The sequence below is a fragment of the Homo sapiens genome, chromosome 15 (genome assembly GCF_000001405.40).
Source record: "Homo sapiens chromosome 15, GRCh38.p14 Primary Assembly".
Classification (NCBI taxonomy): Eukaryota; Metazoa; Chordata; class Mammalia; order Primates; family Hominidae; genus Homo; species Homo sapiens.
The window spans coordinates 68,835,640-68,863,545 of NC_000015.10; the positions used below are offsets into that span (position 1 = coordinate 68,835,640).

Below are 27,906 nucleotides of genomic sequence, written 5' to 3' on the forward strand. Positions count from 1 at the left end.
CAGCATACAAAAAAAAGTCACTGAACATGCAACAAAAAAAGAAAAAGGAAGAAACAACCAATCAGGAGATAAAATAGTAAAAGAAGCAGACCCAGAGATGATTCAGATACAAGAGTTAGTGGACAAGGATTTCAAAATAATGATCATGAGTATGTTTTAAAAAATTGGAAAGATGGATAACATGGATGAAAAAGTACTTTAACCGATCATTTGAATCTATGAATAGGAATCAAATGGACATTTTAGAAATGCAAGTTGAAATGTCTGAAATTAAGAACTATTTGAATGGTTACAGCACCAGGCTAGATTCAAAAATAGTCACAGAAAATATTCAAATGGAACACAGAAGGAAAAAAACATAATGGGGATAAAAAATAACAGAGAGAGATGTGGGGCATAGGCAAAAGGTCTAATGTATGTGCAATTAGCATTTAGAAAGAGAAGAGAAAGAGAAAGAACATAAGTAATCTTGAAAAAATAATGGCTGAGAATTTTCCTAATCTAACAAATGATAAAGTTCACAGATTCAAAAAGCTTCACAAAAAGCTTCAAGCAGGATAATAAAAGCACACCTAAGCAAAGCACAATAAAACTTCTGAAAACTTAAGATAAAAAGAAAATCTCTTTTTTTTGAGACAAAGTCTTGCTCTGTTGCCCAGGCTGGAGTGCAGTGGCACTATCTTAGCTCACTGCAACCTCCACCTCCTGGGTTCAAATGATTCTTGTTCTTCAGCCGCTTGAGTGGCTGGGACTACATGCATGCGCCACCACACCCAGCTAATTTTTGTATTATTAGTAGAGATGGGATTTCACCATGTTGGCCAGGCTGGTCTCCAACTCCAGACCTCAAGTGACCCGTCCTCTTCGGCCTCCCAAAGTGCTGGGATTACAGGCATGAGCCACCACACCTGCTCCAAAAAGAAAATCTTAAAAGCAGCCCAGGGCCAGGCATGGTGGCTCACGCCCGTAATCCCAGCACTTTGGAGGCGAAACGGGTGGATCACCTGAAGTCAGGAGTTCGAGACCAGCCTGGCCAACATGGTGAAACCCGTCTCGACTAAAAATACAAAAATTAGCCAATCGTGGTGGTGTGTGCCTGTAATCCCAGCTACTCAGGAGGCTGAGGCAGGAGAATCACTTGAACCGAAAGGCAGAGGTTGCAGTGAGCAGAAATTGTGCCACTGCACTCCAGCCTGGGCAATAGAGCGAGACTCTTAAAAAAAAAAAAAGGCAGCCAGAAAAAAAAATGATATAATTTCTCTTGGGGAACAACAATAAAGATAACTGATCTCTTAACAAAAACCTATGGACAGCAGAAGACAATAACATCTTTAAAATGCTGAAAGAAATACAAAGCTAAACAAAAACCCTGTCAACCTAGAATTCTGTTACCCTCCACCAAAAAATACTTCAAATATGAAAGTGAAAAAAACGTCCTCAGACAAATAAGGACTGTGAAGTTGCACACCTAGTAGACTAACATGAGAAAAAATCCTAAAGTAATTTATCAGGTCAGAGAAAATGATCCCATGTCATCATGCCCAGTAAATATGAAAGAAGGCCATCCACCCTTTTTTTTTTTGAGATGGAGTCTCGCTCTGCCACCCAGGCTGGAGTGCAGTAGTGTGATCTTGGTTCACTGTAACCTCCACCTGCTGGGTTCAAGCAGTTCTCCTGCCTCAGCCTCCCTAGTAGCTGGGATTATAGGCAGCTGCCACCATGCCGGGCTAATTTTTGTGTTTTTAGTAGAGACGGGTTTTCACCATGTTGTCCAGGCTGGTCTCGAACTCCCGACCTCAGGTGATTTATCTGCCTCAGCATCCCAAAATGCTGGGATTACAGGTGTGAGCCACCATGCCTGGCAGACCATTCACTATTAAAACAACAATCATAATATATTTGCAGGGTTTATAACATAGGTAGAAAATAAAATATACCATCTTGGGCAACATAGTGAGACCCTGTCTCTACAAAAAGTTCAAAAAATTAGCCAAGTGGTGGGAGGCTGAGGTGGGAGGATTGCTTGAGACTAGGAGGTAGAGATTGCAGTGAGCTGAGATTGTGCCACCGTACTGCAGCATGGGTGACAGAGCCAGAATGATACCTCCCTAAAATGAGGAAAAGGTAAGAATATGCATTATCACCACTTCTGTTTGACATTATATTGAAAATCCTAGCCAGTGTGATAAGACAGGAAAAAGAAATAGGTGTGCAGATTGAAAAAGAATGAAGCAAGACTGTCTTTATGGCAGTCATGATTATTTACATTTAAAATCTTTAAAAATCTATGAAAAAATACTAAAACTGAAAAGTGAATTTAAGAATATTGTGTAATACAAAGTCAATATACAGTCAACTGTATTTTTATCTGCTACCAACAAACAATTGAAATATAAACTTTAAAAATGCCACTTAGATAGTATTCAAAAATATAAAATATTTGGGAATACATTTGATAAAATATCTTCAAGACATTTATACTCCAAACTATAAAACATTGTAAGAAAATTTAGCAAATACCTAAATGAATGGCAATATATAATGTTCATAGAATAGAAATTTAGTATTATTAGGGTAATAATTTTCCCCAATTTGATATATAGATTCAACATAATCCTGATCAAAATACTAAGCAGCCCTTTTTTTTTGTAACAAATGAAGCTGAGTGTGAAATTTATATTTATATGGCATTGGATTGGAATGAGAAGTATTGGCATAGACTGGGCGCGGTGGTTCACACCTGTAATCCCAGCACTTTGGGGGCCCGAGGCGGGCAGATTGCTTGAGCCCAGGAGTTCCAGACCAGTCTGGGCAATAGGCTGGGAAACCCTGTCTTTACTAAAAATAAAAATAAAGAATTGGTGTAGATTCATGGTTTTCAATACACATAAGTTAGGTATAGAAAATTCAAAGACCTAGGAAAAACAATCTTGAAAAAGAAGAACAGAGTTGGAGAGCTTATACCACCTGATTATAAATGTTATAGTAACCAAGTACCATGGGATATTGGTGTATTGATAGACTACAGATCAATGGAACAGAATAGAGAGTCCAGAAATGAATCTCCAATATATGGTAATTTATTTACTTGTTTATTTTTTAGAGATGGGGCCTTGCTCTCTCTCAGGCTGGAGTGCAGTGGCACAATTTTAGCTCACTGCAGCCTCTATCTCATGGGCTCAAGTGATCATCCCACCTCAGCCTCCTGAGTAGCTAGGACTACAAGTGCACACCACCACACCTGGCTAATTTTTAAATTTTTGTAGAGACAGAGTCTCACTATGTTGCTCAGGCTGGTCTTGAACTCCTGATCTCAAGCAATCCTTTCCCCTTGGCCTCCCAACATGCTGGGAATACAGGTGTGAGCCACCATGTTCAGCTGGTAATTGATTTTTGACAAAAGACCCAAGGTCGTTCATCAGGAAATGAATATATTTTTCAATAAATGGTGTTGGAAAACTGGAAATCTGTAGGAAAAAATAACCTTGACCTCTGTCCCATAGCATACACAATTTTTTTTTAAAATAGGGGAATACATTTCTGAATTTAGGGTAGGTAAGTGTTTCAGACAGGACACACAAAAAAGTGCACTAGCCATAAAATTAAAAACGTATACATTGGACTTTGTAAAAAGTAAAAATTCCTGCTCAATACCATTAAGAAAATAAAAGGCAGGCCACAGTGTGGTTGAAAACATTCTCAATGCATTTATTGAAAAAGGACTTGGATCCAGAATAGATGAACTCCTACAAACCAATCAACAAGAAAAACAACTTTATAAGTGGGCAAAAACCCAATCAGACTTTTGACAAAGGAAGATGTATAAATGCCTAGTAAGAACATGCCACGTGATGGGGATTTGGTGAGGGTAGGGGGAGGCAGCTGCAATGGGTTAGAACAGTATATCAGAGCCTGAGAAGGGTGAGTAAAGCATCCCCACAGTGGGAAGTCCTGGCATGGTCAGAGCCCAGGTAGGGGGAGAAGGCTAATCATGGAGGAGGAAGCCTGGCATGGAGGAATTCAGAGCTCCAGCAGAGAGAGAGAGAGAGGTGGTCATGTCCAGGGACAGTTCAGCATGGCATATTGGAATAGGAGCCCCAGGGTAAGACAAATATCCAGTGTTGGATATCACAGCCTGAGCTAGGAGAGCAGAGTCCATAGAGGAGGTAGCCCAACCTGGGGAGTTAGAGCCTCAGCCGGGTAAGAGAGGTGTTACTGTGAAGGTGGCCCAGCATGGGGAGTCAGAGCCTAAGTGGAATCAGGAGGGCATCTACTGGAGGGAGGCTCAAAGAAGATTACAAGGTGAAGATTTCAAGAGGTGAGGTGAAGAGGGCACACTGGCAGAGGGATGACCTAGAATGGAGTGTCAGAGAGTGAACATGATGAAGAGGTTACCACGCTGGGGAGGGGATGGCAATGAACATGGAAGATTGGATGCACTTAGCACATTGACCAAATAAGTGAATATAATAAGGACAGCACATGTCAGAGAAAGGGGCTATTGGATGCAGAAAGGGGGATTGGATTTAGAAGTATTGGCATACGCTGGGCATGGTGGCTCATGCCTGTAATCCCAGCACTTTGGGAGGCTGAGGTGGGCGGATCGCTTGAGCTCAGGAATTCGAGACCAGCCTGGGCAACATGGCAAAACCCTGTCTCTACTAAAAATAAAAATAAAAGAAGAACAAATATTGGTGTACACTCATGGTTTTCAATACACATAGGTACAGAAATAAATACAGATGTAAATGTATATGTTTGTGTGTCTGTATGTGTGTGTATCCATCCACATATTCTCCAGCTCTGTTCTGAGAGAGGCCCTGGAAGCAGTAACATGCCATAACATTGAGCACACCAAGTACCTAAATTTTGGTTTCTAGATACAATTTTTCACTAAAAGAAACTAGGCTTCCTTGGAGAAATGGCTGATTCCAGGGATGGACAGAAAAAATACAGGGGATTCTGGATATTTTTGTTCCAGAGAGGAATAGGTTGTTCCAAGAATGATAAGAACATGTGTGTCAAAAGGACACAAAAGCCAGTTTGGAGAGCCACATTTAGTACCATTTGAGTATTAAAATAAATGATAGATTATGACCCACCGAAGAATATAGGAAACCACAAGTTTATGCAGATATAAATTAATAAATGAACAAATTAAAAATCTGTCTGGGAAGCAACTTGTTAACTAATCTGAGAGTACCTCTGCAAAAGTATTACTTACAAGGGGAAAACAATAATTTTTTAGCGGAGAAGACTTGCAAACACCACCTTATTCAGTGATCAGTGAACATCATCAGTAAAGGGGCAAATGAAAGTGATGTGCCTTCTATGATAACCTTGCCAAAGCTGCATAATCTGAATGTAATTATGAAGAAACATTAGATAAACCCAAATTTTGTGGACATGTCTAGAAGTGAAATTTTTAGATAAACCCAAATTTGGGGCTGTTCTACAATGCGATTGGCCTGTAAACTTCCAAAGTAGCAAGGTCATGAAAGTCAAGGAAACCTGAGAACAGTTCCAGCTTGGTGGAGACTAAAGAAATTTGACAACTAAATGCAGCATATAATTTTTGAATCATCCTTTTACTAGAAAGAATATTATTGGGATAATTGTTAAAGTTTGAGGCTGAGCACGGTGGCTCATGCCTGTAATCCCAGCACTTTGGGAGGCTGAGGCAAGAGGATCACTTGAGCCCAGAAGTTTGAGGCCAGCCTCGGCAACATGCCAAGATCCTGTCTCTACAAATAAAATAAAATAAAATTTAAATTTTAAAAAAGCTTGAATAGGGTCTGAGAATTAGATGGTTGTATGCACCAATAATTTCCTAATTTGATGGTTGTATGTGGTTAAGTAGGAGAATGTCTTTGTTAGTATAAAATGCACACTAAAGAATTAGGGGGAATGGAGCATCAGGTTGGCAATTTATTCTAAAATGTTCAGAAAAAAAAGTTCTTTGTTTTGTTCTTGCAACTTTCTCTAAATATGTGATTATGCCAAAATTTTGTTAACTATTATCATCACACACACACACACACACACACACACACACACACACAAAATAATACCAAGTGTGTGTGAGGAAAGGGAGCACCTGTCCCACTTTGGAAAATTGTGTGTCTGTTTCTTATAAAGTTAAAGTTACACCTAACTTAGGTGTAACAAACTTTTGCTTCTAGACACATCCACAAAAGGACCTGTGTGTTCTTAGCAGTTTTATTCAACATACCCCCAAACTAGAAAGAACCCAAATGTCCATTAATAAGCAAATGGATAAATTGTGGTTTGTCAATACAATGTGAATACTATTCAGCAATAAATAGGAATGAGCTGCTAACACACAGAACAACATGGATGAATCTCAAAAGTGTTATGTTGCATGAAAGAAGTCAGACACAGGTGAGTTTATACTTATGATTCCATTGATATGAAATTCAAGGACAGTCAAAGCTAAACTATAGTGATTGAAATTAGAATAGAATAGTTGTTGCTTTGGGGGAATGGAGATTGACTGAAAAGCATTGTGGGAAAATTTCTGGGTGCAGAAATATTTTATATATATTTTTTTTTTTTTGACAGAGTCTTTCTCTGTTGCCCTGGCTGGAGTGAAGTGGCGTGATCTAAACTCACTGCAACCTATGCCTCCCAGGTTCAAGCGATTCTCCTGCCTCAGCTTCCTCAGTAGCTGGGATTACAGGCTCCCACCACCACACCCAGCTAATTTTCATGTTTTTAGTAGAGATGGGGTTTCACCATGTTGACCAGGCTGGTCTCAAACTCCTGACCTCAAGTGAGCCACCCACCTTGGCCTCCCAAAGTGCTGGGATTACAGGCGTGAGCCACCGTGCCTGGCCATGTTTTATATCTTGATTGGGTGGTGGTATATATTTGACAGAACTAATCAAATTGTACATTTAAAATCTATGCATATTGATTTAAACTATATCTCAATTTAAAAAGCTAACTATATCTCAATTTAAAAAGCTAAAAACTTTAAAACGTACTAAATCCTCAGCAGTGGTTATCTCTAGGGAACAGGATTCCCACATTATGTATTTCTGAGGTTTTGAACTATTTCAACCAGTATGTCTTAGTTATTAAAAAGAGCCACACTGAGCATCTAAAAATATAATTACATGAAGATTGTAGGATTTGTCCAAATTGCACTCCAGCAATTAGTTATTTTGGGGAAAACTTAAGTTAGATCTTCTTTTAATATATACAAAAACTGCTTAGATAAGTCAAAGAGGTAATGTATAAAATCAAGCCATAAATTTTAAATTGTCAAATAATAGAAAACAGGGGTTAACATTTATCTGCTTTCTGAGTTGCAAAGAAACTTTCAACAGTTAAAAGTAATGTTAGGAACTCTAAACAAGTAAATTTTTGCTGCATGAGAATACCCCAATACATAATGAAATGGAAGCAATTAAATGCAACAGGAAGTTGGGGGAATCTACAAAAACATAAGGACATTCAACAGATTTGTAACTAAAGGATGTAAATTCTAGAAAGGAAAAAAGGATAGAAAGAAGGGAGGGGGGAAGGTAGGAAAGAAGGAATGGCAGGAGGGAAAGAAAAAAGACAAGAAGAAAAAGGGAAAGGAGTTAAGGAAGAACAGACGAGGGAGAACACAGATGGCTAATCAGCAGGTGAATAAAAAGTAAACCTGAATTTTTACACCCAAATTAAATCTATCAAAGTAGCAAAATTATTGTTAAATGATAGCATTCGATGGCAGCTGTGGCGTGGCCAGATGAATGTATGTTCAATACATGGAGGGGTGTAATTGTTAGATTTCTGAAAGCCAATCTAGGGATGTGTAGTGATAATCTTTAATATGATTATATATTTTGAACGAGAAATAACCACATTTTGGAATCCGTCTAAAAGAAATAATAAAAATACTGTTTTCAGGATTATTCATAAATCAAAACAAGAAAAATAGTCTAAATGCCAACATTAAGGGACTAATTCTTAAATTATGAGACATCCGTTTGATGGATTATTATTCTACCATTAAATGGTGTTTACAAGGGGTTTTTAATACCACGTTTTTCTTTTTTTAATGCTTTTGTGTGTGTGTGTGTGTGTGCTCACGATAACTTAAGGATAGCAAGGCTGAACTCGTTCAGTTCGGAAATAGAAACTTCCCGGCACAGTTGGCCTGTAAGACACGCTTCAGTTTTGTTCTCCTTCATTGTATTTAAATACTGCCTCCACACCCCCTCTACCCCCCACACACATACACACACACACGTGTGTGTGTTTCGGGGCTGCTCAGGAGGACAGGCGGCTCTGCGCTGCGGCTGTGGTGGGCTCCGTGCACACCGCGCTAGGCTCATAGGGCGGCTGGCAGGTCCAGAGAGCGGCGTGGGAGCAGCTGCTGCCACGGTGGCAGCGGAGATGAAGGTGTCAGCCTGACGCGGGCGGCTCCTGAGAGCTCGCTGGGGCGCCTCAGCGACTCTCACATCTGTTCAGCATCTGGCTGTCACCCCCTCAAGAGAATAACAGATCCCCTTCCCTTCTCCCTTCCAAATGTCCCTCAAGTTCCTCCCAAGGCAAACTCCAGCTGGAAGGGGGCATACTGGGAAGTGTAGTTCCCGTTGCTCTGCATTGCGGAGGAGGGGCGGGAAGGATGCTGAGCGCTGCCTGTCTATCCCAAACAACACGCCAGGTCAAGCTGGAAATCATCCCACCCTACCTGTCAGTCAGCCAGGGAGTCAGAAGGCCACAGGTTGAGTAGGAAAAGGATCTGGATTATAGATAGCAGAGCTTGGACTATACATAGTTTATAAGTAAAATAGTTTTTTTTAAATGTGTATGTCATTCCCAGTATATTTTATTATACGTTTGCAAAACAATACAAGACAGAAGCTGTATTATTTAAAGAAAGTTATACAAATCTTTTAGAAGTTTAGAAAAGAACAGCATTAGAAAGTTTTCACTTGAAACCCTCATATATTGGAGGGAATGTAAAATATGCAGCCACTGTGGAAAACAACTTGGCAGTTCCTCAAAAAGTTAAACCTAGAGTTATCATTATAACCCAGTGATTCTATTCCTAGGTATATCCATTTTCATGTTTACAAAAAAATTGTAAACGTGTTCACACAAAAATTTGTACACTAATGTTCACAGCAGCGTTATGCATAATAGTTCAAACATGGGAACTAACCCGCATATCCACCAACTAATGAATTAACAAACAAAATGTGGTATATCTAGACAATTAAATACTATTTGGCCATGGAAAAATATGAAGTACTGATACATGCAATGACATAGATGACCCTTGAAAGCATTATGCTAAGAGAAAGACACAGAGCCACATATTTTATTTCATTTATATGAAATGTCAAGAATAGGCAAATCTGCGAGACAGAAAGATTTGTGGTTGCCTAGGGCTCGGGGTGGGAGGAAACAGGGAGTGGTTGCTAATGGGCTTGGGTTTCTTGTGGGGGCGGGGGGATAAAAATGTTCTCAAATTAGATAGTGATGATGGTTATACAACTCCGTGAACTGAACAACATTTAAAAAATTGTGGTAAAATATACATAATTAAAACTTACCATTAACCATTAAAATATTAACCATTTCAAGTGTACAGTTCAGTGGTGTTAAGTACATTCACATTGTTATGCAAACATCATAACCAGCCACCTGCAGAAGCTTTTCATCTTCCCAAACTGAAACTTTGTGCCCATTAAACAATAACTCCCTACCTCCCTCCACCTGCATCCCGTGGCAACCAGCATTCTACTTTCTGTATGAATTTATTATTCTAGGCACCTCAGATGAGTGGATTCATACAGTATTTACCCTTTTGTGACTTGCTTATTTCACTTAGCATAATGTCTACAAGGTTCATTCATGTTGTGGCATGTGTTAGAATTTTCTTCCTTTTTAAGGCTGAATAATATTCCATTATACACTTATGCCACACTTCGTTTAGCCATTCATCCATCATGGATACTTGGGTTGCTTTCACTCTTTTTTTTTTTTTTTTTTGAGACAGAGTCTCGCTCTGTCGCCTAGGCTGGAGTGCAGTGGCGTGATCTCGGTTCTCTGAAAGCTCCGCCTCCCGGGTTCATGCCATTCTCCTGCCTGTCTCCCGAGTAGCTGGGACTACAGGCGCCCACCACCATGCCCGGCTAATTTTTTGTATTTTTAGTAGAGACGGGGTTTCACCGTGTTAGCCAGTATGGTCTTGATCTCCTGAGCTTTCACCTTTTGACTATTGTGAATAATGCTGCTATGAACATCGATGTACAAATATCTGTTCAAGTCTTTGCTTTCAGTTCTTTTGGATATGTACCCAGAAGTGGCATTGCTGGATCATATGGTGATTTTATTTTTAATGTTTTAGGGAACTGCCACACTGTTTTCCATACCGTGTATACCATTTTACTTTCCCACCAACGGTGCACAAGGGTTCCAATTTCTCCACATCCTCATCAACACTAATTTTCTAGTGTTGTTGTTTATAATAGCCATCCTAATGAGTATAAAATGATATCTCATTGCAGTTTTGATTTGCATTTTGAATTGTACATGTTAGGATGAATTTTATATGTGAATTATATCTCAATGAAAAAATGTTCATTGAGAGACCCAAGTAGCACCAAGCACACCTTGTGCCCAGATCTTGGCTTCTAAACAGCTTTCTTCACTAAAGGGGGCCCAATATGGGGCACAGGAAGTACAAGGTGAGCCTGGGATATTTCACTGTACAAGAAAGCAAGGAAGTGCTCAAAGAATGGCAAGCATGTCTAAATGACACTGGTCAAATTTGGGAAAATTTGAGCATCAAAATGAATAATGACCATAATTATTTGTAAATACCGCAAGTAACAATTCATGAGGCCGGGCGCGGTGGCTCACGCCTGTAATCCCAGCACTTTGGGAGGCCGAGGCGGGCGGATCACGAGGTCAGGAGATCGAGACCATCTTGGCTAACACGGTGAAACCCCGTCTCTACTAAAAATACAAAAAATTAGCCGGGCGCAGTGGCTGGCGCCTGTAGTCCCAGCTAGTCGGGAGGCTGAGGCAGGAGAATGGCATGAACCCGGGAGGTGGAGCTTGCAGTGAGCCAAGACAGCGCCACTGCACTCCGGCCTGGGCGAAAGAGCAAGACTCCGTCTCAAAAAACAAAAAAACAAAAACAAAAAACGAAACAAAACAAAAAAAAACAATTCATGAATTCATGGTAATAGAAAGAGAGAAAAAGGCAATTCTTTATGGAAAAGTGCTAGTAGCTAATAGATGTAAAAGGAATGATAGAATTTTAAAGTCACCGTTTTACAACTTCTAATGAAATAATTTTGGTTCCAGCTTGGTTTGGATGGCAATCCCATCCCAATTGCTGGGATTGGCAATGGATGTTACAGCCATTAGGTGAACAATTACTAGAGAACCAAATATTCACATGATTATTTGAATCATGCAGATTATTCGTTAACTGCAAATGGAAACATACATTTGCAATGAAGAAATCTGGCAATTACCACCTTAAGCAAGTAATCAAACTCAACATCATGAATCATAGAAAAACTTGATATGTATGCTTCCTAACATGATGTAATATTAAGCATACAACATCACCTACAAAGCATTTTTACTAAAATGTGTGGCCTGAGTGTAAGCAAGCTCCTCTAGACCGGGTCTCTACCTTTCAGGAATTCAGGGAATAGTGGGACAATTTAAAGAACACCATGCAGAATATTTAACAAGGCAATTGACCTGAAATCTTCAAAAAGCCAATATCATGAAAAGAAGCAGTAGCAGTAGCAAGGGGACTGCTGTAGATGAAAAACACTTGAGGGACCTAATTAAACAATTGCAACAACAAAACACACCTGTTCAGTGAGGGCCTACTGCTAGCTGTACTCAGATTTTATAAATGAATGCAAAAATGATGCAGGCACATTGATTTATCATGTATTAGCGATAATCTAAAATATTTATTATTAAAACATTTTAATAAATGGAAATTTTTATTGCAATTTTCTTTCGTATTCCCCCCCATGGGAAAAGAAACCATAATCATATAAATGGCTATCCTTGAAAGCAGATAATATAACATGTGCTCCAAGATATTTGTATGATTTATCACTAAATCACAGATTCAGCCTGGAAGAAAATAGAAATGTATGGAACAATTTTTCATTTAATTGGGCATGAGAAACCTTTCTACCTGTTAATGTCATTAATTGCAACATGGGCATCTCCATAACATAATATTTCTAGACATAATGTGCTTTTTTTTTTTTTTGAGACATAGTCTCAGTCACCCAGACTGGAGTGCAGTGGCGCAATCTCAGCTCACTGCAACCTCTGCTTCCTGGGTTCAAGCAATTCTCCTGCCTCAGCCTCCCGAGTAGCTGGGATTACAGGCATGCACCACCACTACCGGCTAATTTTTGTATTTTTAGTAGAGATGGGGTTTCGCCATGTTGGCCAGGCTGGTCTCGAACTCCTGACCTCAAGTGATCCACTTGCCTCGGCCTCCCAAAGTGCTGGGATTACAGGTGTGAGCTACCACACCCAGCTCATAATGTGCTTTTAAAATATCACTGTCCAACAGAAATATAATGTGAGCCACAAATGTCAGCCCATATATAATTTTACGTTTTCTAGTAGTCACATTAAAACAAGTAAAAAGAAAATAGGTAAAATTAATTTTAATATTTATATTTTACTCAATATATCCAAAATACTATCATTTCAATAACTAATCAGTATAAAATGATTAAAGAGATATTTTATATTCTTTTATTGTACTAAGTCTTTGAAATCCAGTGTATATATTACGCTTTCAGCAAATCTCAATTGGGACTGGCCACATTTCAAGTACTCAGTAGTGGCTTACATGTGGGACAGTTCCAGTCTGAAATAAAAATACTGGGCCTAATAGAATTGGCTTTACGTGTTGCAAGTGAGCAGTATTAAGTACCACATTTTCAAAGGTGAACTTTCCAAATACGTACTTTTGATTTGCATTTGTTCTGGAATATTTTCAAGAATGGAAAAATAAGCTGAAAAATTCTATTTACCTAGCAAGCAACTAATATTTTTGCATTTAGGATAAGAGAGTGGAGATAACAGTGAAAAGAAAAGAGAACCTTCAAGCTTTGTATGTATATGTCAGAATCATGAAACACTGAATTACCTTATAATACAGTTTGCCACTAGGGTCTGAATGCTAGGGACATAAAAGTTCCAAATCCTGTCTATCCTTCCTTCAAACCAGACTTTGCATTTTCCCGTTAGGTTCCCACTGCCCAGACCTTCTTAACCTAAACTCTTTGCCAGTTTTTAATGTAGGCTTCCAAATAGACATGATCTGTGTGGATGCATGGGAGGAGAGGGGAGTGAAGAGTCTGGACCCCCACAAACCAGTCTTGGCTCTGCCAATAACTGAGGAGGATATCCAGGGAAATGCCTTTCACCCCCTGGGCCCGGTTTCCTTATCTATGAGACAAAGAGATCCAACCAGGATAATCCTACAGATTCTTCTAGATCTTTATTATTTCATTTTCATGAACACTTTTAATATACGTATGTTACATATAGTCATTCTCACCCAACTACCTGGGTTGGTAAAGAAGACTTCTCTCTGTTGTCTCCGCTCCTGAAGTTGCCCCAGCTCTGCCTCACAGATACCGCCAGATTTGTCCTTCTTTTCCATGCCCCTGCCTCGAAGACCAGGTGTAGCCCCAGCCACCTCATTGTGTCCCAGCCATCCTTAATGGAAGGTTTCTATTATCTGGACTAACCTCATCTTTCCACCTTGAATGCCATCTACCTCCCCGCAGCAACCCAGGCTCATGCAATTTCCCTCAGCTAAGACATTCTCCCCAAACTCCACCTGGCTACTTAAGTCCTCTTTCACTGCCTAGTGTACATTTCATTGCCTTCAAGGCACCTCTGCTGTCCTGACTGTTGGCAGGCTGCTCTCATCTTCCTCTGCCCATGTTGGGGTCACTTGTGGTTCACTGCCATTCACGTCTCCTGATTGTTCCCATGTGTATCTTATCTCACTTGCGAGCCTGCAGGGACAGCTTACTGATTCCTACAGATTCATGCCTCTGTACTCTCCTCAGCCTCACACTGGTGCTGAGCTCACAATAGGCACTCAGCAGATACTTATGGACCTTTCCAAGGCTTCCCCAGAGTTTAGGGAGGAGACCTCTAGAATGCCAAAAGACAAACATAATACTTGCACTTGAAAAAGTGTGTATGGGGCCCACTGCTACTTTGCCTGGAGAAAAGATCAGGTTGTGGAAGACATTGGCCATTTGTGGTAGATTAATTGCAAAAATATTCTAGAGTCTTCACCCTGTCCTATAGCCATATCTGTTGCAATGTGGCTTTGCAGGTCCTCCTATTGGGAGGTGGAGTCCACTTCCCCAGCCTCGAATCTGGGCTGGCCATGTGACCTGCTTTGGCCATTACAATGAGACAGAAGAGAAAAAGTGCCAGTTATGAATGTAGGCTTCCAAAAAAACATGATCCGTGTGGACACATGGGAGGAGAGGGGAGTGAAGAGTCTGGACCCCCACAAACCAGTCTTGGCTCTGCTAATAACCGAGGAGGATACCCAGGGAAATGCCTTTCGCCCCCTGGGCCCGGTTTCCTTATCTATGAGACAAAGAGATCCAACCAGGATAATCCTACAGATTCTTCTAGATCTTTATTATTTCATGTTCATGAACACTTTTAATATATGTATGTTACATACAGCCATTCTCACCCAACTAGACTAATGAATGAAATTAATTGCCAGCTATTGTGGAAAAATATTCTCTATGTGGAAAGTACTCTGTATGTAAAAGTGACACTCCAGCTGTTGTGTTCACATAGTTTTAGTAATCACTAACCATATCTTAAACCATCTTTGAAAATAGTCACTAAAAGAGGAAATACTATTTGCCAGGTGCTTTCATGCACCATTGTCTCATTTAATTCTCGCAACTCTGTAAGTTAGATTTTTCTTTTTTTGAGACAGAGTCTCACTCTGTCGCCCAGGCTGGAGTGCAGTGGTGTGATCTCAGCTCACAGCAGCCTCCGCCTCCTGGGCTCAAGCCATCCTCCCACCTTAGCCTCCCAAGTAAGTAGCTGGGACTACAGGCATGCACCACACTCCTGGCTAATTTTTATATATTTAGTAGAGATGGGGTTTCGCCATATTTCCCAGGCTGGTCTCCAACTCCTGGGCTCAAGCAATCCACCCACCTTGACCTCCCAAAGTGCTGGGATTACAGGTATAAGCCACCATGCCCTGCCTGTAAGGTGGATATTATTAATATTATAATTTATCTTAACTTTTGGGGAAACAAACTCACATACATTAAACAACCTCTGTGAGGTCACACAATTAGTGAATGGTAGGTGGGGCTGGGACGTAGACCCTGGTCCTACCCAGAATGCATACCCTCCCCACTGGGCCACAGGGCCCTGCAACAGTTGGGATATCTCACAGTGACACATGTCTGTTAAATTAGTTACCTACATGCATTCTAGTGTGAAGACAACCCAGTGATACACCTTTAAAGCTATAAATTTTTTTATACCTTAATTATTTTCCTCCCAACTTTAGGCCTAGGGGCAAGTCCATAATCAGGGTTTTCTTCTAACTCTTGTTTCTTTGGAACAATTCTCCCAGGTACGGTCTGTCATGGTCAGGGATGCACATTTCAGAGAATCACATGTGAATGTTGTATCCAAATGACATGATATCTGACTTCATAAGGTACACTGATGAGTGGAAGAGAAAGATGTTCTTATAACTTTAAACTTTATTGGACATCAGTGCTGATAGTGTAGTGTAAATTAATACTCTAATAAATCTACGATTATCTTAGAGTACATAATAAAATAAAAATGTACCTGTTTTGTATTTTAAAGAAGGTCACATTTATTATATGTAAAAATTTTAAATACGCTCCAATTTTTGTAACCTTTGCTGAAAGTTTCTTTGTTTTATAATATAGACTTGATAAAAGGAAGAAATGGGCTTCTATTAAGAGAAACAGTTTCTGTTCATATCCGAGTCATTCAAGGTACAGATAACCCTATAAAGATGGCTGGTTTCACGTTAGCCCCTTTTAGAGAGGAACAAAATATACCTAATTTCTTCTAGCACCAAAATAGACAATTATTCTAGAAGGATGGTTGTCTACATACACTCTAATCCTACTCGGGAAACCAGGCAGTGAATCTATTGACTTCCCAACTCAAAGAAACTTTCAGCAAAAAACACAAAAACAAAACTCAAATGTAGATTTCTGCTTCTAGGTGTGACAGAGTAGTTGGTACCATATTTTCTCTCCTACTGAGAACCACTATGAAAACTAGATTTAAAAAGCTATTTTATGAAAGCTGTTTGAAAGCACTAGAGAAGAAGCAGGATAGCTAGGACTTGAAGGACCAATATCCTGAAGCAAAGAGAAGTGAATTGAGTTGTTTTCTAAATGCATTCTCAGTAGCTTTTCCCCTTGGGGTGTTTGCAAATTCACAGTTCTGGCGGTGGAAGCTGAATAGAAAGCAGCAGCCCAGAACCTTCAGCAAGCTTACTGGGCCCGGGAGACAAAAATTGCAGTTCAGTGCTACCTAGACAGCTAGGATTTAAGGGGTCAAGATCCCAGAAAAAAGGAAACTACAAAGAAGTGAGCCTGAAATTCTATTTATAATCTCCTTTTAAGGCATTTGCTGACACCAAAGTTGAGCTTATAAGATTCCAAAATAAAATAAAATAAAATAAAATAAAATAAACATGAAGAGAAAGGTGCAAAGGGGCTAAAAAGCTAAGCAGCGATTTTGGCAGTTTCATATTTATGAGGAGACAAATATTGAAGTTCAGAATTCATCATGGATGAAAGACCCTCGTAAAACCCAGGCCCTTCACTTGAGCCCCCTGAACAGGTGATGCCTTAGGCAAACTGGATGTAGAGCAGCATTGGCGGAACAAGATGATCTGCTTTAATCTCTCTGTCTGATAGTGTGAGGAGAGTGTCCATGCGGGGGCGGTTTGGCGTGTCAGAGCTGGAACAACATGAAGACAGCTGCCCAGCACAGGGTGGGAAGGTGTCCATGCAGCAAGGGGAGGGTGAGAGCCAGACCAGAGCCAGGTGAGAAGCACATTCACAAGGGGGAGCCCATCCGGGGCGTGGGGATCCCAAGCAGGGTGAAGAGGATACCCAGGGTGAGGGGCAAGAGCTGTCACGGGTGTCAGAGCCTGAGCCAGGTGAGGACCGGCATTCACATGGGAGCTGGGGAGGCCCTGGGTGAGGTTTCAGAGCCTCAGCAGGGGAAAGGAGGGCCTCCATGTCGAAGGCCAGCCCAGCATTGGGTGTTGGAGCCCGAGCAGAGTGAGGAGGGTGTTCATACAGGAGGCTGGTCTGAGGGGAGTTGTTGAACCTGGACATGAGTTTTGCATGAGGGAGGAGTGGGTGGCAGTGATGTCAAACTGGTTCCATACTGAATAGCTAGACATATTAAGGATGATTGGAGCCAGGTTTCTCACTGTCAGAGAAGAGAGCACAAACCTGGAAAGGGATTAAACTAGAATGAGCCCTGAGATGCTGGACTGGAACTGAAGGTATTGGTGTAAGCTAATAGTTCTCAATTTACATAGATAGAGATAGAAATAAATATAGATAGAAATATATGTATGTGTGTATGCATATATATACACACCACATACACATATATGCATACATACATATTTTGTGTGTACACACATAATATATATGCATATAATTGTATTATATAGACACTTGCCCTGTCTACTGAAAGGGCCTGGGAGAAGGAACCCCCCAACAGTGAAGAGTCCAAGGGAAGCCTGGGACATATTGTTGTGCCTGAAAGCCAGAAAGTGCTAAAGAATGATGAGGATATGTGAAAAGGACAGAGAAACCAGCTTGAAAGGACTCTTACTAGCCAAATCAGGGACAATTTAAGCATCAAAATACATAGTGAATAGTAATAGATTATGACCATTGAATTAAATAGGATGGAAGAGTATGGACCATGAGTCCATACTGATATAAATAGGTAAACAAATAGAAAGTTTCACGACGAGCAAGACATTTACGTGCTCTAAAATGATTTCCCCATAAATATTTATTAATTGTGAGGGACAATAGAGTGGCTTTAGCTACATATTGAGTGATTCTACTTACATTTTTTAGCTACACACTGTATGATTCCATTTATATGACCTTATCCTCTAAAGCACAAAGACATTATGGAAAAGGCAAAACTGTAGGGATGGAGAACAGATCAGTGGTTGTTTGGTGTAAGGGGTTGGGGGAGGGCTTTACTACAAAGCAGCAGCATGAAAAACATTTTCTAGAGTGATGGAACTGTTCTATATCTTGACTACAATGGTGGTTACATTGTTATATATATTTGTCAAAACTCATAGAACTATGCGCCAAGAGTGATTTTTGCTGTGTGCAACTTTTTTTTAAACCAAAAGGAGCAACTTTATAGTGGAAAAGCCTGGGAGACAACACTTTAATCAAACAATCAAAGTGAACATTGTCAGCGATGAGACAAATTGAAACCTGAAAACTAAGAGGATGTAGCAAGAAAAACCAGCACCCACTTTTGTGATATTCCTGACAAAAATGCATAACCTGAATCTATGAGGAATCACCAGAGAAACCCAGATGAATTGGGATTCTACAAAATACCTGCCCTGTAATCTTTAAAAGTGTCAAAGCCATGAAAGTTAAAAAAAAAAAAAAGGCTTTGTAATTTTTGTATACATATCCTGTACATATTTTGTTAGACTTACATCTATATATTTCTTTTTTTCAGTGATCGAAAATGCTATTGTGTTTTAAATTTTGGTTTTCACATGTTTGTTGCTAGTATATATGAGTGATTTTTGTGTGTTGGCCCAAAGCTTTCTTAATTCATTTATTAATTCTAAGACATTAGCTTTTTTTTTTTTTTGAGACTCCTTGGTATTTTCCATATAGACAATCATATAATTTGCTAATAGAGACAGTTTTATTTCTACCTTTCCAGTCTGTATGCTTTTTATCTCGTTTTCTTACCTTATTGGTCTGGCTAGGATTACCAGTATTGTTGAATAACAGTGATGAGAGGGGACATCTTTGTTTGATTCTGATCTTAAGATAAAAGCATTCCGTCTTTCACCGTTTAATACAATGGTATCTGTAGGTTTTTTGTAGGTCCTCTTTATTAAGTTGAGAAAATTCCCCTTTGTTGTTAGTTTGGTAAGAGTTTTGGGGTTTTGTTGTTGTTGTTTAGTTGGTTTTTATCATGAATGGGTGTTGAGTTTTGTCAAATGCTTTTTTTCAATATGACAAGGCTGATGACTGTGTGACTTTTCTTCTTTGTCTTCTTAATATGGTGGATTATACAGATTGATTTTTGAATATTAAATCAGCCTTACATCCTTGGAATAAAACACTCCTGGTTGTGTTTATTATTTGTTTATATATTGCTAGATTCAATTTGCCAACATTTTGTTGAAGATTTTTCTTCTATGTTCATAAGACATATTGGTCTGTTTTACTTTTTCTGTGCTTTCTTTGACTGATTTTGGTATTAAGATTATAATGGCCTCATAAAAATGAGTTGGGAAGCGTTTCTTCTTCTATTTTCTAAAAAAGATTGCATAGGATTGGTGTTAATTCTTTTTTAAACATTTAGTAGGTTCAGCATAAAATGATTTAGCATCATTTCTCTCTTGCTGCTCATCCATTCTCATCCACTGAAACCATCTGGGCCTGGAGATTTATTGTTCAGACTTAAAAAAAATATGAATTCAATCTCTTTAATGGTTATAGGCATCTTTAAATTACCTGTTTCATATTGGATTAATTTTAGTAGTGGTCTTTTTAAATGAATTTAATTAATGGCTTCACTAACAATTTACCTAAATTATTGAATCTATGCGTGTAGAATTGTTCATAATATTCCTTTATTATCCTTTCAGTGTCTACAGAATCTGTAGTTTTATTCCTGATATTAGTAATTTATGTCTTTGCTCATTTTTTCTTTGTCAGTCTACTAAATGTTTGTCAATCTATTGATCTTTTCAAAGAACTGACTTTTGTTTTGCTGATTTTCTCTGATGTTTTTCTGCTCGTCTTTATTCTCTCATTCCTTCTGCTCATGTTGCATTTATTTTTCTCTTCCTTTTCTAGTTTCTTAAGAGCTTAGATTATTGATTTGAAACCATTTCTTTTTCTATTATAAGCATTTAGTTCTATACATTTGCCTCTTAGCACTGCTTAAGCTGCATCCCACACATTTTAATATGCTTTATTTTTATGTTCAATGCATTTAAAAAATTGCCCTTAAGACTTTCTCCTTGACCTATGTATTATTTTAAAGTGTGTTATTTAATGTCAGGTGTTTGGAAAATTTTCTCTTATCTTTCTATTTTTGATTTCTAGTTTGATTCCACTGTGGTTAGCAACACACTCTATATGATTTCACTTTTAAAAAAAATTGTTGAGGTTTTTTTTTGTTTGTTTGTTTTTTGAGACGGAGTTTCACTCGTCCCCCAGGCTGGAGTGCAATGGTGCAATCTTGGCTCACTGCAGCCTCTGCCTCCTGGGTTCAAGCTGTTCTCCTGCCTCAGTCTCCCGGGTAATCGGGATTACAGGCACGCCACCATGCCTGGGTAATTTTTGTATTTTTAGTAGAGACAGAGTTTCCCCATGTTGGCCAGGCTGGTCTTGAACTCCTGACCTTAAGTGATCCACCTGCCTCAGCCTCCCAAAGTGCTGGAATTACAGGCATGAGCCACCACACCCAACCGTGAGGTTTGTTTTATGACCCAGAGTGTAGTATGTCTTAGTGAATGTTCCATGAGCTTGTTAGAATGTGTATTTGGCTGTTGTGACTCGAATGTTGTATAAACATTAATTAGACCCTGTTGATTGATGGTGTTGTTTAGTTCTGGATTCTTGCTGTTTCTGTTCATAGTTCTCTCAATTGTTAAGAATGGGGTATTGATGTCTTTTAGTATAATTGTAGTTTATCTCTCCTTTTAGTTTGGCCAATTTTTGCTTTGTGTATTTTGAAGTTCCATTTTCTTGGGCATAAATATTTAGGATTGCTATGTCTTCTTGGTGGATAGACTCCTTTATCACTGGGTAATGCCCTCTTTTTTTCTGGTAAAATTCTTTGTTCTTAAATCTACTTGATTTGATGTTAACATTGCCACTCCTGCTTTGATTGATATTTATATGGTATATCTTTTTCATGCATTTACTTTTAATTTACCTATATCATTACTCTTATAAATAGCATATAGTTGAGTCATGCTTTTAAAAAATCCATTCTGCCAATTTTTTTTTAATTGGTGTTATTTAGATCAATTACACTTAATGAAACTATTGATATATTAGGGCTCGAGACTACCATTTTATTTTTTTGTTTGTTTTCTGTTTATTCCTTCTGTTTTTCTGTTTCTCTTTTTTGCTTTTCCTGTCTTCTTGCATGTTGCTTAAAAATTTTTGGTCTATTTGATTTATCTATAGTGTTTTTGAAGGTATCTGTTTCATAGGTTTTTCAGTGGTTACTCTAGGTATTGTATTATTCACTTATAACTTAACACTGTTCACTTGTATCAACATTTTACTACTTTGAGTAAAGTGTAAAAACCTATAGGTTCCTTTACCTCCTCCTTATAATTCTCTTAAATATTTACTCACATACTTTGAGAACCATATCACACAGTATTATAATTTTTGCTTTGACCATCAAATATAATTTAGAAAATCCAACAGGATAGTTTATATTTACATATTCTATTTTTTCTCATCCTGTCTTCATTCCTTATGTTTCACGTTTCCTTCTTTTGTCATTTCCTTTTTGCTTGAAGACTTTTCTTTAGATATTCTTTTAGTGTAGGTCTGCCAGTATCAAATTCTGTTAGCTTTCCTTTATCTGAGAATGTCTTGACTTCCCCTTCCTTATTGAAGGATATTTTTGATGGGTATAAAATTCTGAGTTGACAGTTTTTTTGTTTTTTTTGTTTTTTTTTTTTTGAGACTGAGTCTCTCTCTGTTGCCCAGGCTGGAGTGCAGTGGCGTGATCTCAGCTCACTACAACTTCCACCTCCTGGGTTCAAGCGATTCTCCTGCCTCAGCCTCCTGAGTAGCTGGGATTACCGGCATCTGCCACCACTCCCGAGTAATGTTTGTATTTTTAGTAGAGACAGGGTTTCACCATGCTGGCCAGGATGGTCTTGATCTCCTGACTTTGTGATCTGCCTGCCTCAGCCTCCCAAAGTGCTGGGATTACAGGCATGAGCTACCACGCCCAGCCCTCTCTCACTGCTTTTGAGATTTTTCTTTGTCTTTAGTTTTCAGAAGTTTGAGCATGATGTGTCTTGGTGTGAATTTCTCTGGGCTTATTCTCTTTGGGATCTTGCTTGACTTCCTGAATCTGTAGGTTCATATATTTTGCCAAATTTGAGAACTTTGCAGCCATTGTGTTTAAAATATTTTTTCTGCTCCATCTTTCTTTTTCCTCTCCTTTTGGGTCTTAATGAGGTGACATTTAATATTTTATTTTCCTGCTATAGGTCCCTGAGTCTCTGTTCATTAAACCTGTTGATCGGGTTTAATCATTTTTGTCCTTCTAGCTTTAGGTTCACTGAGTCTTTTCTTCTGTCATCTCCATTTTATTAAGCCATCCACTGAGTTTTAAGAAATTCAAGTTGTTGCATTTTTTAATTCTAAAATTTTCATTTAGTCCTTTTTTATATCTCATATTTCTTTGAATTTTTGTTAAACAACTTAAAATATTTCATCCCAGAATAGTTCAATATATATCTGTATCAATCAGCTTTTACTAAGTTACACTGCTATAAAAAAATAACCTCTAGACCTCAGCAGCTTTCGGGAAAAAAAGATTTACTTTTCTTTACATTACATGTAAGCTGCTGGTCATACTCTAGCCTTTGGATGGGCTATGGGTCTGCTCTACTTGTCTTTTCATCCTGGGACACAGGCTGAAGAAGCAACCTCTATCTGGGTCATACCATTCTCATGGAAGAAGGAAAAGAATAAGAGAGCAGACAGAAACTTGCAGTCCCACTTCCAGTTTCTGCCAGAACCAGCAAACTGTCACCTTTGCTTACATTTTACCCATCAAAGACCAACATGATGTCAACGGAGTAAAGAAATAGACTCCTTCTTTTTTTTTTTTTAATTTTTTGTATTTTTTTTTTATTTTTTTATTATTTTTTTTTGTTTTATTATTATTATTTTTTTTTATTGATCATTCTTGGGTGTTTCTCGCAGAGGGGGATTTGGCAGGGTCACAGGACAATAGTGGAGGGAAGGTCAGCAGATAAACAAGTGAACAAAGGTCTCTGGTTTTCCTAGGCAGAGGACCCTGCGGCCTTCCGCAGTGTTTGTGTCCCTGGGTACTTGAGATTAGGGAGTGGTGATGACTCTTAACGAGCATGCTGCCTTCAAGCGTCTGTTTAACAAAGCACATCTTGCACCACCCTTAATCCATTTAACCCTGAGTGGACACAGCACATGTTTCAGAGAGCACAGGGTTGGGGGTAAGGTCACAGATCAACAGGATCCCAAGGCAGAAGAATTTTTCTTAGTACAGAACAAAATGAAAAGTCTCCCATGTCTACCTCTTTCTACACAGACTCGGCAACCATCCGATTTCTCATTCTTTTCCCCACCTTTCCCCCCTTTCTATTCCACAAAACTGCCATTGTCATCATGGCCCGTTCTCAATGAGCTGTTGGGTACACCTCCCAGACGGGGTGGCGGCCGGGCAGAGGGGCTCCTCACTTCCCAGTAGGGGCGGCCGGGCAGAGGCGCCCCTCACCTCCCGGACGGGGCAGCTGGCCGGGCGGGGGGCTGACCCCCCCACCTCCCTCCCAGATGGGGCGGCTGGCCGGGCAGAGGGGCTCCTCACTTCCCAGGAAGGGCGGCCGGGCAGAGGCGCCCCTCACCTCCCGGATGGGGCGGCTGGCCGGGCGGGGGGCTGACCCCCCCACCTCCCTCCCGGATGGGGCGGCTGGCCGGGCAGAGGGGCTCCTCACTTCCCAGTAGGGGCGGCCGGGCAGAGGCGCCCCTCACCTCCCGGACGGGGTGGCTGGCCGGGCGGGGGGCTGACCCCCCCACCTCCCTCCCGGACGGGGCGGCTGGCCGGGCGGGGGGCTGACCCCCCCCACCTCCCTCCGGGACGGGGCGGCTGGCCGGGCAGAGGGGCTCCTCACTTCCCAGGAAGGGCGGCCGGGCAGAGGCGCCCCTCACCTCCCGGATGGGGCGGCTGGCCGGGCGGGGGGCTGACCCCCCCACCTCCCTCCCGGATGGGGCGGCTGGCCAGGCGGGGGGCTGACCCCCCCAACTCCCTCCCGGACGGGGCGGCTGGCCGGGCAGAGGGGCTCCTCACTTCCCAGTAGGGGCGGCCGGGCAGAGGCGCCCCTCACCTCCCGGACGGGGTGGCTGGCCGGGCGGGGGGCTGACCCCCCCACCTCCCTCCCGGACGGGGCGGCTGGCCGGGCGGGGGGCTGACCCCCCCCACCTCCCTCCGGGACGGGGCGGCTGGCCGGGCAGAGGGGCTCCTCACTTCCCAGTAGGGGCGGCTGGGCAGAGGCGCCCCTCACCTCCCGGACGGGGCGGCTGGCCGGGCGGGGGGCTGACCCCCCCATCTCCCTCCCGGACGGGGCGGCTGCCGGGCGGAGACGCTCCTCACTTCCCAGACAGGGTGGCTGCCGGGCGGAGGGGCTCCTCACTTCTCAGACAGGGCGGTTGCCAGTCAGAGGGTCTCCTCACTTCTCAGACGGGGCGGCCGGGGAGAGACACTCCTCACATCCCGGACGGGGCGACAGGGCAGAGGCGCTCCCCACATCTCAGACGATGGGCGGCCGGGCAGAGACGCTCCTCACTTCCTAGATGGGATGGCGGCCAGGCAGAGACGCTCCTCACTTTCCAGACTGGGCAGCCAGGCAGAGGGGCTCCTCACATCCCAGACGATGGGCGGCCAGGCAGAGACGCTCCTCACTTCCCAGACGGGGTGGCGGCCGGGCAGAGGCTGCAATCTCGGCACTTTGGGAGGCCAAGGCAGGCGGCTGGGAGGTGGATGTTGTAGCGAGCCGAGATCACGCCACTGCACTCCAGCCTGGGCACCATTAAGCACTGAGTGAAGGAGACTCCGTCTGCAATCCCGGCACCTTGGGAGGCCGAGGCTGGCGGATCACTCGCGGTTAGGAGCTGGAGACCTGCCCGGCCAACACAGCGAAACCCCGTCTCCACCCAAAGAATACGAAAACCAGTCAGGCGTGGCGGCGCGCGCCTGCAATCGCAGGCACTCGGCAGGCTGAGGCAGGAGAATCAGGCAGGGAGGTTGCAGTGAGCCGAGATGGCAGCAGTACAGTCCAGCTTCGGCTCGGCATCAGAGGGAGACCGTGGAAAGAGGGGAGAGGGAGAGGGAGAGGGAGAGGGAGAGCAGAAATAGACTCCTTCTATAAGAAAGCTACAAATCGCAGGGCAAGAGAAGTGGGGACGGAAGGATATATAATCCTCACCCAGGGAAGAGGGATTACATAATTGAGAATAATAATAGATTCCTACAGCATTTGCAAATAGTAAGTACATTTTCCTATGTAATCACAACACATTGTCACCTCTAACAAAATTAACAATAATTATTTTTCTTTTCTTTGTTTTTCTTTTTCTTTTTTTTTTTTGAGACTAGTTCTTGCGTTGTCACCCAGGCTGCAGTATAGTGGCATGATCATAGCTCACTGCAGCCTCAAACTGCTGGGCTCAAGCAATCCACCAACCTCAGCCTCCTGGGTAGCTGGGACTACAGGTGCATGCCACCATGCCTGGCTAATTTCTTTATTTTTACTAGAGATGGGGACTCACTATTTTGCCCAGGCTTGTCTCAAACCCTTGGGCTTAAGTGGTCTTCCCATTTCAGCTCCCAAAGTGTTGGGATTACATGCATGAGCCACCACAACAGGCCAATAACAATTCTTTAGTATCATCTAATACCTAGTCTGTATCCAAATTTTCCAATTATCTCCAAAATATACTTAAAATTTACTTTATTGAAACCAGGATATAACCAAGGACCAATGTAATGTGGTTACATGTTTTAAAGGGAGTGCAGTGGCACAATCTCGGCTCACTGCAACCTCTTCAAGTGATTCTCCTGCCTCAGCCTCCTGTGTAGCTGGGATTACAGACATGTGCCACCACGCCTGGCTAATTTTTTGTATTTTTAGTAGGAATGGAGTTCCATTATGTTGCCCAGGCTGGTTTCAAACTCCTGGCCTCAAGTGATCTGCCAGCCTCAGCCTCCCACAGTGCTGGCATTACAGGCATGAGCCACCATAGCTGGCCGAGAGTGGTTGTTTAAATTAAACCATACTAGGAGGCAAGAAGGATGACAAGATTGATCATTAAGTTAAGGTTTTTGACAACCTATTCCTCCAATGTAAAGGTGATTTTTTTTCCTCTTTTAATCAAATGATGTGTTGTGTGAGACTTGTGAACTATGTGAATATTCAGTTTCTAACCAACTTTTCATTCAAAGGCTTTAGCATCCACAGATAAGCCTATCTGAATTAATCATTTTTTCGGTTGTAATAAAATTATAACTTTCTATCATTATTTTTACATTTGTTAGCTGTCAAACAATATGCCCTTTCTGTGTAAAGAAGGGCTTTCCTCATCAATATATACAGTGTCATTTATGAGAAAGATATTAAAAATAAAACTCTTAGGATTCTATACATTGAGTTTTTAATCTTTTTAAACATTAATATTATAAGTACTTTTCTATATATTTATTTTGAAAATATTTTGATGGCTATGCAAAATGTATTATGGTGATGATGATGATGAGTATAAATCTAACAAAAATGTATGGAATTTATATGCTGAGCATTACAAAATAGTTTCTCATGTTTTCTTGACTTTCACATCTCTGACTCTTTAAAAAAATTACAGGGCAAGTATTTTGCAGAATGTCAGTCAATTTGGTTTTGTGGTTAGATTCAGGTTATTCATCTAGAATTTCTAGAATTCTGGAATGTCTACTTGGGTTTTAAAAATGTTTTCCCATTTTTCTATTGAGATTCCCTATTTAAGATATTTATACCTGAGCCAGGCATGGTGGCTTGTATCTGTAAACCCAGCTACTCAGGAGGCTGGAGCAGGAGAATTGCTTGCACCCAGGAGTTTGAGGCTGCAGTGAGCTATGATCATGATACTGCACTCCAGCCTGGGTGACAGAGTGAGACCCTGTCTCTAAAAAAAGGAAGTTAAAAGAATATATTAATATTTGTTTTAAGGCCTTTCTCAGCTAATTTCAACATCTGAGTTATTCGTAAGTGTGCTTCTACTGATCTCTTGATTACAGGTCACACTTTTTGCTTCTATGCATGTCTAGTAATTTTTAAAATTATGTATTGGTTGGTTTTTTTTTTTTTCTTGAGATGGAGTCTTGCTCTGTCGCCCAGGCTGGAGTGCAGTGGCACGATCTCAGCTCACTGCCAGCTCCACCTCCCGGGTTCACACCATTCTCCTGCCTCAGCCTCCCAAGTAGCTGGGACTACAGGCACCCACCACCATGCCTGGCTAATTTTTGTGTGTGTGTGTTTTTAGTAGAGACGGGGTTTCACTGTGTTACCCAGGATGGTCTTGATCTCCTGACCTTGTGATCCGCCCGCCTCGGCCTCCCAAAGTGCTGGGATTACAGGCTTGAGCCACTGTGCCCAGCCGATTGGTTAGAATAATCTGTTGTAGAAACTCTGGGTTATGGTATCTTCCTCCAAAGAGCATTACATTTTGTTATGGCAGTGATTAAATTGCTGGCAAATCAACTTTATCCTGTGGGGCTTAGTTTTAGGCTTTGTCAGGG

General features: G+C 41.2%; 1 annotated feature.

Moving 5' to 3' along the window:
- Positions 8,279–8,338: an enhancer, noted in NCBI's record as "active region_9653". NCBI's record gives its function as "activates an Ori minimal core promoter by ATAC-STARR-seq in GM12878 lymphoblastoid cells {active_cell/tissue: GM12878}" and the evidence as "EXISTENCE:reporter gene assay evidence [ECO:0000049][PMID:35858748]".